The sequence below is a fragment of the Homo sapiens genome, chromosome 13 (assembly GCF_000001405.40).
Source record: "Homo sapiens chromosome 13, GRCh38.p14 Primary Assembly".
In the NCBI taxonomy this organism is placed as follows: domain Eukaryota; kingdom Metazoa; phylum Chordata; class Mammalia; order Primates; family Hominidae; genus Homo; species Homo sapiens.
Window position 1 is genome coordinate 27,092,260 of NC_000013.11, and position 13,238 is coordinate 27,105,497.

Consider the following 13,238-nt stretch of genomic DNA (forward strand, 5'->3'; position numbering starts at 1 on the left):
AGACTCAACTTTGTCAAGATATCATTTTTTTCCCAACTTCATCTATAGGTTCAGCAAAATCCTTATCAAAATCCCAGCAAGTTATTTTGTGGATATCGACGAACTTGATTCTAAAGTTTACATGGAGAGGCAAAAGACCCAGAATAGCCAACAAAATATTGAAGAAGAACAAAGTCAGAGGACTGAGACTACCTGACTTTAAGACTTACTCTAAAGCTACGGTAATCAAGACAGTGTGGTAGTGGGGAAAGAACAGATATACGGACCAACAGGACAGAAGACAGTGACCAGAAATACACTCACACAAATAAGAGTCAACTCATCTTTGACAAAGGAGCAAAGGCAATTCAACAGAGAAAGAATTGTCTTTTAAACAAATGATGCTGGAGCAGATGGACATCCACATGCAAAAAAATTAACCCAGAATAAACTTTCTAATACCTTATACAGAAATTAACTCAAAAAGGATCATAGACTTAAATATAAAATGAAAAACTATATAATTCCTAGATAACATAGGAGAAATTCTAAGGGACCTTTAGTTTATGGATGACTTTTTAGATACAACACCAAAAGTATAATGCATGAAAGAAAAAGTTGGACTTTATTAAAATTAAAAACTGATAATTAAAACATTAAAAACTTCTGCTCTGCCAGCCAGGCCCGGTGGCTCACGCCTGTAATTCCAGCACTTTAGGAGGCCAAGGTGGGTGGATCACTTGAGGTCGGGAGTTCAAGACCAGCCTGACCAACATGGAGAAACCCTGTCTCTATTAAAATTACAAAATTAGCCGGGCGTGGTGGCGCGTGCCTGTAATCCTGGCTACTAGGGAGGCTGACACAAGAGAACCACTTGAACCCAGGAGGCAGAGGTTGCGGTGAGCCACTGCGCTCCAGCCTGGGCAACGAGAGCGAAACTCCATCTCAAAAAAAAAAAACTTCCACTCTGCCAAAAACAGTGTTAAAAGAATGAAAAACAAGTCACGGACTGGGAGAAAATATTTGCCAAAGACCCACCTGATTATGAACTAGTAGCCAAAATTATACCCGAAAAAAAAAACCCACTTAAAATTCGACAATACTCAAAGAAAAACAGCCTGATTAAAAAATGGACAAAAGATCTGGACACATCACTAAAGAGATATAGATGATAAATAAGCAGACAAAAAGATGATCAACATCATATGTCATTAGGGCCTTGCAAATTAACATGAGATAACACTACACACTTATTAGAATGGCCAAAATCCAACTGACAACACCAAATGTCAGCAAGGATGTGGAGAAACAAGAACTCTCATTCACTGCTGGTAAGAAGGAAAAATCGTACAGCCACTGTGGAAGACAGAATGTTGGTTTCTTATCAAACTAAGTATACTCTTACCATACAATCCAGTGATCCTGCTCCTTGATATTTACACAAAGGAAGTAAAAACTCACATCCACACAAAAACCTGCACACAAATGTTTATAGCAGCTTTATTCATAATTGGCAAAACTTGGAAGCAACCAAGACGTCCTTCAGTAAGTGAATGAACTTTAAAAACTGCAGCACATCCTTACAGTGGAAATGTTGCTCAGCCAAAAATAAAGGAAATAAGTTATCAAGCCTTAAAAAGACATGGAAGAACCTTAAATGCATATTGCTAAGTGGAAGAAGCTAATCCAAACAGGCTGCATACTATATGATTTCAACTACACAATATTCTGGAAAAGGCAAAACTATGGAGACTTTACAGGACTCTTAGCTTTCTTGCTTGTGGACCCTATTTTCCAATGTTATTAAAAACTAGCAGCACAACTGTCACAGTAAAGATGAGATCAGGCAAAATCATAAATGCATGCTAAATCTTGGGTGAGATTTTGATGAGGAGGGAGGTATTTGTGTCTCCCCACAGACTGCCTACTAATTGCAAGGGGATTTAAAAAAAAAAAAAAAAGTCATCATAAAGTGGAGAAACTGGCCCAGCACGGTGGATCATGTCTGTAATCCCAACACTCTGGGAGGCTGAGGCAGGTGGGTTACTTGAGGGCAGGAGTTCAAGACCAGCCTGGGTAACACAGCAAGACTCTGTCTCAAAAAAGTTTAAAAACTAGCTGGGGGTGATGGCATGCACTGTAGTCCTAGTTACTCAGAAGGCTGAGGCAGGAGGATCACTTGAGCCCAGGAGTCTTGGGGCTATAATGATCTATAACAGTGTCACTGCACTAAAGCCTGGGCGACAGAGCAAGAACCTGTCTCCAAATAAATAAATCAAATGGAGAAACACCACCACCTTGACTGGGTGATCAAAAATTAATTTCACCAATGAGAGGCAGATGGATATTGTGTGCCTACAGACGTGATGCCCCGAGAAAAACACAACATGAATGATATATTATTATTAGCCATGAATGCATAACCTGCATCTAGTTAGGAAGAAACATCAGAGAAACTAAATATGAGAACATCTGATTTTAAAAAGGTGAGGGAGGCATATTCTCAAAAAAAAAAAGACCATGTAAATGTTTCAGGTTAAAGAAGGCTAAAGAAACAACTAAATGCAATGTCCCCCTCTAAATTGGATTCTGTACTGAATAGGGAAAATGCTATAAAGAACATGACTGGCCGGGCATAATGGCTCACACCTGTAATCCCAGAACTTTGAGAGGCCAAGGTGGAAAGACTGCTTGAGCCCAGGAGTTCAAGACCAGCCTGAGCAACACAGTAAGACCCCTGTCTCTACAAAAAATAAAAATTTAAAAATTAGCTGGGTGTGGTGGCACGTGCTCGTGGTCCTTGCTACTTATGAGGCTTAGATGGAAGGATTGCTTGAGCCCAGGAAGTCGAGGCTACAGTGAGCTGAGATTGGGCCACTGCACTCCAGCCTGGGTGTAACAATTTTCAAGCTTCATCTTTACAAAGTGTCCAGCAAGTGGGATTTTTTCCCCTCCTTGAGGGTACACTGTATGCTTTAGTTTTTATCCCAACAATGGATACTAAAGGTAATCGTAGAAAAAGGAAAAACGAATTAATATGCCTCCCTGATCTGTATGATCCTATGAGATTATGTCATAAGACATAATTTCCACAACATGGTTCTATGGCCTCCTAAACTGAAAGAAAATCAAACAGTTCAAGCTACAGTAAGTATCTTTCTATCACCTCAGGTATTCATTGTCAATAAGCAACATTACATTAAGAATACAGACAGATTCCTTTTAACTGAAAAATACATCTTTAACTCCTATACCTAAGAATTACAACTTTCAAGTTCATCTTCCATTCTGTCTTTCTCAAAGAACAACCTTTAACATAGTAATTCAATTTTTCTCTATACAAAATTGTATGATATACTTACAGTTTCACAAGTAAGACATCTGGTTTCATTAGTTAATGTTCCCTGAAAAATCTCATGAACCCACGTTGGGTCTGGTGTGCTGTTATTATTTTCATTATCAATATTACCATTAGGTAAACGACCATTTTGTTTTTCCTGCTTTCTCTCTTCTTGTAAAATATCAGCAATTGTATTTAGTAGGTAATTTAAGAATTCATGGGCATCTTGTTGCATGTAGTTGTCAAAAAGCTCTGAAAATAAAAACATTATATTAGAGAATTATTTCAGAATTCATAACTTCATAAAAAACCAATTTATAAAAGAATATCTAGTATTGGATCAGAACTAAAATATAAATGCACAATGTTTTTGTAATGTATAACAAATAACTTTCGCATCTAAAACTTTTATCTGTATTTGGGGAAAATGTAAAATTAATTAAAATCTTGTTTAAAAATACTACTAATTGATCCTGAGAAAAGGGCAAAACCTATCCTTATATATTGGCATAACAGATACTGAGAATTTAAGAAGAAATTGCTTATTAGCTTACCTGACTTATTATTTCACAAATATTTCAACTTGGCAAGCTTTAAAGCAGAAGTTGGACAACCATTTGCCAATGCCAAGCCAACTGCTTTAGACCCACAAAGTTTATCAAAAATAAATTACTGAACCATACATCCCAGGGATTCTGATTTAGTTGATAAGGGGTAAGCCCAGAACGTGGGGCTTTTCAAAGCTCCTCCAACTAACTCTGATGTAGAGTCAGGTTTAAGAATCATGTTATCAAGAATTATCTATATAATCCAGATAATCTCAAGTCCCTTCCAAATGTGAGACTTTATAATTCCACAAAACGTTCCCTGCAGTTACACAAATGAGTAAATATAACTGAAATATTGGTGGTGCTAACATCAAGCGTGCTTTACCCTGTGCTTGGCAATATACAACTCTACCATAGAACAGTAAGGACTTTAGAGGCAGTATCTCATTTGATCCCCAACAACCATGTAATATTGTTATTAACTTTATTTGTAAACATGAAAATGGGACGAGACAGAGTACAGTCACACTGCCAAGAAATGGCAGAGCCAGGATTCAAACTGGGCAGCCTGACTCCACCATGCCACACACAAAGTAATGCCCAGTATAAGCCCACACACAAGAACATACATGAATTGGTCAATAAAATGCATTGAGAAAAATTACCTATTTAGGACATTTTATTTTTAGATCCTCAATGTACATTTAATAAGTTCCAGAAAGATTTTACATTTTAAAAATGAATGCATACAAATTTAGAAAAAAATTTAGGGAAAGTCTAAGATAAAACAAATTAACAATTACATTTTAGAAGAGATACAGATATGACTACATAAAATTAAGTTCTATGTATTAGAAATCTTTAAAAAAGTTTTAAAAAAAGTGAAACCTGAAAATTATTAACATTTTCAACATATAAAAGCAAATCTCATATAAAAGAAAACCAAACTGGACAATCTTATAAATGGCAATCAATTTATAAGAAAAAAACAATCAAAAGGCTAAAAAACATGAGAAAATGTTCAATCCCATAGTAAGTTTAAAAAAAAAAAAAAAGCAGGCCAAGCGCAGTGGCTCATGCCTATAATCCAGCACTCTGGGAGGCCAAGGCAGGTGGATCACCTGAGGTAAAGAGTTTGAGACCAGCCTGGCCAACATGGTGAAAGTCCGTCTCTACTAAATACAAAAAATTCACTGGGCATGGTGGCACATGCCTGTAATCCCAGCTACTTGGGAAGCTGAGGCAGAAGAATCGCTTGAACCCGGGAGGTAGAGGTTGCAGTGAGCCGAGATTGCGCCATTGCACTCCAGCCTGGGCAACAAGAGCAAAACTCCATCTCAAAAACAACAACAACAAAACAGAATACCATCTTTCTTTGCAAAGTCATTGTAAAAACAGAAAGGGAATGAGTGAAGCTTTTTATGGGGGTAGGAGGGCACAGCTGCTAGAGCAAGGCTGTCTGGGTTGGTGCTATGGTTCTACTTCTAACTGCACGCGTGGCATAGGCAACTTATTCAAGCTCCCTGTTCCATAATTCCTCATCTGAAAAATGGGGCTCACAGCAGTACCTGTACCTCACAAGGCTGGGAGGAAGATTAAAAGTGCTTAGAATACAACAATAGGTTTTGTATTCTGTTCAACAACAACCACAGTAACAATATTGGCAATATCACTACATGTTGAATATCCTTTATCTAAAATGCTTGGGACCAGCAGTGGTTGGGACTTCAGACTGCTTCAGATTTGAGAATATTTTCATACACATAATGAGATATTTTGGGGATGTGACTCAAATCTAAACATGAAATTCATTTGTTTCATATACACCTTATAGCCTGGAGGTAACTTTATATAGTACTTTTTTTTTTTTTTTTTTGAGATGGAGTTTTGCTCTTGTTGCCCAGGATGGAGTGCAACTTCATATAGTATTTTTAAAAACTTTGTGCAGGGAAGTAAATTTGTGTACACTGAACCATCAGAAAGTAAAGTTGTTACTACCTCAGCCACCCCATGTGGCATCATGCAGCTCAAAAAGTTTCAGATTTCTGGATTACGGATGCTCAACCTATATAATTGTTGTTGCTACTGAACAGAATACAAAACACATCAAAGACTGACTATGTAAAAACTATGAACTTCTGTATGGCAAAGTCAACATAAATGAAGACAAGTGACGAACAAGGATAATTATTTGCATATTAATATCCAGACTATGTAAAGGTTTAATATACAGAATATTTAAAAAAAAACCCTTTACAAAACAAGAAAAAAAATTTTAAAAACTGGCAAAGGAAAATAGCCAATTCAGAGTAGAAATACAAATGCCTAAATAATACATGACAAGGGACTGGGAAATAACAATTAAAACAATGACAAAATATCATTTTGCCCATCACTTTGGCAAAATAAAAATTGACTTAGTTTCCATCCAGTGTTAGCTTGAGTATGGAGAAATGGACATTCTCAACTGTTGCTGCTGGGAGTATAAACTGGTATGGCACGTTGTAAAGGCAATTTTGGTAACAGATTTAAAATAATGCAACCTAGTTCTCCCAGGTATCGATGCCAGGTAAGTATCTGTGCATGTACCAAAACAAGCATAAATACGGCTGCTTATTTATAACAGCAGAAGTCTGAAAATATCCTAAATGTTTATCAACAGGAGAATGATTTATTTAAATTATGCTATAATTTTGTTAGGGAATGCTGGGCAACGGTTAAAATGGAAACAGTTCCATTGAATTAACATGGCAAAACTTCCAAAACAGAAAGTGAAACAAGGATGCTGAACACATGTGGATCCCACTCATGAAAAACAAACAACCGGCTGGAAGCAGTGGCTCATGTCTGTAATCCCAGCACTTTGTGAGTCTGAGGGGGGCAGATCACCTGAGGTCAGGAGTTCAAGACCAGCCTGACCAACATGGTGAAACCCCATCTCCACTAAAAATAGTTCCCATAAAATGTAACTGTGGCTTCCTATTTGGACATATATATTTAAGTGCATAGAAAAGGGTTTTTGGTAGCATCAAGGTATTTCAAAGGAAGACGAGATTGAGGAGCTGGGGAGGAAGCAGAGAGCACTCAGGGAAACTTCTAGGTTTGTTTGGTACTGAAATGTTATTGTAAGAATGTATGCATGTATTATTTGCATGCTTAAAAATAACATAGAGCTTTCCATACAAAAAGTCCACTTCCTCGCTCCCTGTCACTGCCTGTTACACATTCCTTTATTTTTTTAAGAGATGGGGGTCTCGCTATGTTGTCCAGGCTGATCTTGAACTCCTAGGCTCAAGCAATCTGCCTGTCTATTGCATATTCTTCATAAACAATTACTTCCCAAACCCTTTCAATTTTTAAAGTTCATTTCCTGCATGTCTAGTCTGTTCCATTTCCATTTAAATCTACCTAGTTCAAGTCACCTCCCTTCACTTAACCCACTAAGTCTCCTTTCCTTCAGTTTCACACTGCAAATAGACAAGTTTAATTTATAGACCCTGAATCTTTCTCCCTAGGAATTTTCCCTGATATCTCTTGCATTACATGGTAAAATTCACAATAATTTTTTTTCACGTTCATTATTTAGTTATTTTCATATATCCAAATCCATTCCACAAATTTGGGTCTCAAATCAAATACAATAATATTAAGAATGCAACTGAAGCCACAGTTCACTTCTCTGCTGTAAGTTTAGCCTGAGGGACCCATTAGCCTTTAGCAAAATCCCCATGTTATGTTTAAAAACAATAAAAGTCATGAGTTCTAAGAGCTCCGTACTAGCCTACATGGACTTAACAACTAATCTTGAATTTGGTACACTGTGTGTGGGTTTTTGTCCACAAGAGATAGTAGATCTAAAGCACTGGGACACCATTCCCCTCTCCCTGCTCAGAGTAGAAGTCTATGCAACCTCTCTCAACACTGAGACAGCCTGCAACTCAAAAATCTTCTCAGCAGTCCACTCCATCCCTCCGAGGCCGGGCCAAGTCATGCATAGAACCTTGCGTGGTTCCACCAATTGGAAAAGTCTAGACCACAGCTAAGCTAACTGAAGCAAATTATCTAACCTTGCCCTTCAATGCAATAATCCTCCGTCCCTGAAAATAATAACCATTTCCCCTCTCAGCCTCAATCTCCTATCCTCTACTACTCTCATTTGCTTATTGCACCTTATTTCCTTTCTCATCCTTGGGATTTTCTTTGTTCCCAACCCTTTCTAAGTTGCTCATTCTAGGTCCTCCATTCTGTTCTAAACAAACTCCCTCGCCTTATCAACCTTTGGCATTTTCTAGTTTCCTACTGCTACTTGCTCTCAATCACAAAAGTGCCCAAGATACAGCCATACTATGACCCTCAACCCTCCTCTCTCTGAGGTCATCTCCCTCCTCCTCATCCACTGATGGCCTGATTCAGTTTCTCTCTCCACTTTGCCTCCTGCACCAACCTTGACATGTCAGTGTCTAGGCAGCTTCCTGACGTGCATGCACCTCAATCCCGTACAATTCAAGAACCTTTATCTCTCACTCACCCACCCATTTCCGGGTCACAAATCTGGAACCACCCACCTCAAACAGGTCCACTAAGGCAAGGAGTGGAAGATAATTATGCTAAAGTTGAGTTGAGGGGCTGAAGAAAAGTTGGAAACCAACTGGAAAAGTCCTAGAGGAATCTAAAAAGAAGAATAATCAGGGAGAACTAGTAAAAAGATTTTATAAACACTGCTGAGGACCTAGTTAAGGTTAGAGATGAATAATTCCCTACAGCGGCTAACTACATATTGGCTTGATGCCACAATCTGAAGTAGCCTAATTTCTCCCTGTTGAAAAGAATTTTAGCATATACATGTTTTTCAAAATAATTACTTTTTAAGCAAAAATGTGCAAATGTTTTTGCTTTTTAAAAATGTACATCTTTTTCTGGATGCTCTTTTAACACAGAGCAATGATTTCATATTCACAAAAATACCTCCAATGACTTGAATGCTCTGGAAATGAGAGGCAAAGTAAACCAAAAAAATAATCTTTAAACTTTTGTTGAAATATTTCTAAGATTATTTGTAGTCCATTTTCCTTAGAGTATACTGAATATGCCAGAATTTTGCTGTATGTGAAAGCAGCCATTATAGTTTTAAAAGCGTCAACCAGGACTGTATAAACATCAAAATAACACTGATGAATGACCTCAGGACAATCCCTGTGAACTGTATTATATTTAATTTTTAAAACCCTGGTTTTCTTATGGTTTGCTTTCTTCTTTGCTAAGTAGCATGATGGGAAAGGTGGACTTCAAACTTGCTTTGGAAGTTAAACAATTTCATTCATTCATTCACTCATTCAATAAATATTTAGTAAGCACCTACTATGTGCCAGGAACTGGATTATGTGCTGGGAATACAATGGTGAGCAAAAACAAATGGGTTCCCTCCGTCATGGAACTGACAGTCTAGTGGGAGAGACAGACAATTTCATTATTAAATAAATGTATGATTATAAACTACTATAGTCCTGATATAGCTGCAACAATAATGCAAAAAAAAATGAAAAACACTGCTTAAAAATAGGTTATGTTCTCCTCATAATTCAGAAATAGCTATAAGCTCTCATTACACAAAATACCATTTATGCTCTTTTGGAGAAAAAGAATTGTTTGAAATAAACATAAGAAATTATTTACTCAAATATATTTAACAGGTATTATTTGTGAACAACTAAAATTTCCTCACTTGAGGGAGACCAAGACTTAAATTTATCTGTTTTTGTATCTCTCCACGGCACATGAAACGCTGCTTGTCCATGCAGGTTCCTTAAGAACAAGGACCCTTTCTATCTCATCCCTAGGACTGACAACCGTGCCTGCCACATAATGAGATGTATTTCCCATTTTTTAATGAATGAATGAATGAATGAATGAATGAATGGACAATAGGGATTGAAACAACTAAGATGATGACAGAAAAGTAGATCTGCCCCCAAACAATAACTGAAATGACTGACACTGCTAAGGTTCAGTGAGTCAGAGCACACAACTACAGATGCCAGCTGATGTGGCCCTCAGGCCCACCTAAAATGATCCCAAACAGTCCAGTTGAGGGTCAACTCTAGCTAACACAATCAGATCACCATCCTATGTTGTATTTCTTCCAAAATAATAGTAGATCACCCACAGGCAGTACCTGTAAAGAGAGGACTCCATTTCCTACCTGGGTACTGCAACAGCCTCCAGGCTGGTCTCCTGCCTCTACTCTCATGCTGCCCAGGCCCACCCAGCAGCCAAAGGGTCTTCTCAAACAAATCAGAACGTATCACCCACCTGCTCAGAACCCTCTCGTGGTTTCCCATGGCTTTCCAAATAAAACCCAAGCTTTAGGCCCCTGTTCTTCTGACTTTATCTTCATCTTATTCCACTCTTGCCATGCTAATTTTCTTTCCATCCTTCAAGCACTCAGGCAACCTGCACTTTCTTCCTACTGATGGTAACATTTTTGCCTCAGATCTTAAAATGATGTCTTCAAATTTCTGATCTAACATTACCTAATCAGGGACATTTCCCAATGACTGACATATGAACTAGCAACTCCCTCATCCTCTGTCCCCTTTCCCAGTCTTCTTTTTTTCGTGACAGTGACACATTACATCACACAATTGATGGCTGTCTGCTTCCCCACGAGGGTGTCAGGTACCTGAAGGCATATTTCTGTATCATCAGTTCCTAAACAGTGTCTGGCACACAACAGGAAATATATCTATCATGATTAGTCTACTCAAACACTCAGCTAGCATCCATCCCATCAGCAGGTAACATGCATGGAGCCACTGTTGCTGTACTCTATGCAGGAGCACTGTGCAACAGTCCTCTTATGCTATGATTAGGTAACATGAGTTAAAACTGTAAAAACAAAAATTCATTAATAAATAGAAATTAAAATCAGTTCTTTCCAGGACCATCAAAAAGATTAGTAACATAAAGCAATGGTGGTTAAAACAATATGGGGCTAATATCTATTGAGAATAAAATTTTTAACATAGTATGGCAGGAAATTAATTTAGTAAGAACCATCTACCAGTGAAAGTCAGTGGAAATACTGAAATGAGTAACATACTTTCCAAAGATTTAAAACAAACAAAATCTCAGAAGGAAAGATATGCAATGAATAATATATTAAATCCTCTTTGATTTGTATATTCTTCTCTACACAATTCTCAAGGGAAAATTCAAAAGCCAAAAATATATTTCAAAACATATTTGCAAATGTCAGCAACATCAAATAATAAAAATGCTTTTCTATTAAAAAAATGGCTTTTCTATTAAGCATTATTTCTGAAGTTTAGAAAAATGAAGCAAAACTTATGAGAAGATGGGCTTAGAATATTTATTCTAGAATCAGTCTCTTTCAAAGAAGTATTTAAGAACTCTATTGTGTTACCAATTCAATCTGCCTAAATACAAAAAGAATTAGTAACTATTGAACTATCAAAAAAAAAAATAATAATAATAATAATAATAAGGCCAGACACAGTGGCTCATGCCTGTAATCCAACACTTTGGGAGACTGAGGTGGGTCATTTGAGGCCAGGAGTTCAAGACTAGTCTGGGCAACATAATGAGACCCCATCTCTACCAAAAAAAAAAAAAAAAAGAGAGAGAGACAGAGAGAGAAAGAGATGAAAAAAGAAAAAAAGCCCATTTGGAAAAAATAACGAACACTGTAAAAATACCCCAGGTTTGACAAACAAACATATAAAGCCATAAGTATGTAACTGTATTTTACCTCTGTTCAGCATGAGGGTCAATCTAACTAAGATAACATCATTGTATAAAGAGCCCATGTGATAGGTTAATAAGGCCAAGAGAAATGTACTATTAAATGAAAAGGGAAATAATGTATGCTCTGTATGAGCTGCATACTTCTGAACTCTTTTTTTTTAGAGACAGGGTCTTGCTCTGTTACCCAAGCTGGAGAGTGGCGCAATCAGGGCTCACTGCAGCTTCAACCTCCTGGGCTCAAGCGATCCTGCCACCTTAGCCTTCCAAGTAGCTGGGACTACAGATGTGCACCACCACATCCGATTAATTTTTAAAATTTTTTGTGAGACAAGGTCTTGCTTTGCTGCTGAGGCTAGTCTCAAACTCTTGGGCTCAAGCAGTCCACCTACCTTGGCCTCCCAAAGTGCTGGGATTATAGGTGTGAGCCACCGTGTCCAGTCACTGAACATTTTTAAAATACTAATAAAGTCACTGAGAAAGGGTGCCATGTTCAATTACCAAATACATAAATTTTCCACAAGGACAAAACTTTTAAAGTTTTGTACAGACACACACAAAAAGACTGAGAAGACTTAACTGCTCAATCCACATTTGAGCATTAAGGTTATATTTGATTTTCTAAAAAAACAAGATAAACAGATCTATAATCTAATAAAGTACATACGTTTAGCTTTCATTAGGGGAAACAAGATGTATTTTTATGAGCAATTAATCAAATTATTCTACATGTGTATGTGGGGAAAATGAACAAATCTTCAACAAACGTATCAAATTCAAGAATAATAGCCTATAGCCTATTTCTGGGTCATCTTATATTTCAGCGAACTAGATATGATCCAGGCTTACCTCAATTCACTGTGTACAGTGTCAACTGACTAATTTAAAGGCAGGATTACGCAATAGGGTATTTAATAATCCATCTTAATGACTTCCCAAATCCTGCTTGTGAGCGTCTACTTAATAGGTAACAAATCAACTAAAAATGCCATTCAATTTTCTTTCTACAATGATTAAAATGCCTACATTAAACAAAAGCCAGAATTCTACATGTTATCTAAATTCCATTTGAATTTTTGAGGCAGTGTCCCACATTAGATAGAACACTGGGCTTACATATCAGGGAGAAGTAAGTTTGTATACCAGCTCCACCACTTACTAACTCTGTGGGACCTTGGACGAATTAACCTCTCTGAGCCTCAGTTATTTCATAGGGTGATAATGTCCAACTTATTGGCATGTGAAAATTAAATGAACAATATTTCAAAAAAGAAAAGGGAGGTGGGGCTTACTCAGTAACTATTTTAAAAAGGGGTTGGGGGATTAAAACTTATCTACCCTAAGCCAAAAGGTCTTTTCTAGCTCCTTCCCCGGAGTGTGGCTCCTGGCAAGCCTTTTTTAGGTTTTGATTTTTCACGGCTAAAATGGGGGAAATGACATGCTCTCTATCTAAGGCTACTGCAAGGATCCAATGAGTTAACACACATGAAAGCATTATGAAAACAAATGCATAAGCATGCAAAAAAAAAGAAACAAAAACCCTTCATTCTTGACAGAAAAGCCAAGCAAGCAAAAAGAGAAACTGTGATTTCTCATTTGCTGCCACACAG

General features: G+C 37.4%; 1 protein-coding gene across 2 annotated transcripts in view; it reads right to left on the reverse strand.

The window, feature by feature from the left end:
* Window positions 1-13,238, reverse strand: part of USP12 (ubiquitin specific peptidase 12) — a 105,656-nt gene that overhangs the window by 26,104 nt on the left and 66,314 nt on the right. For both annotated transcript variants that reach the window (XM_005266282.3, NM_182488.4), the window contains exon 4: window positions 3,342-3,571. In XM_005266282.3, coding sequence (XP_005266339.1) covers window positions 3,342-3,571 — 230 coding nt within the window. The remainder of the gene's footprint in view (window positions 1-3,341; window positions 3,572-13,238) is intronic.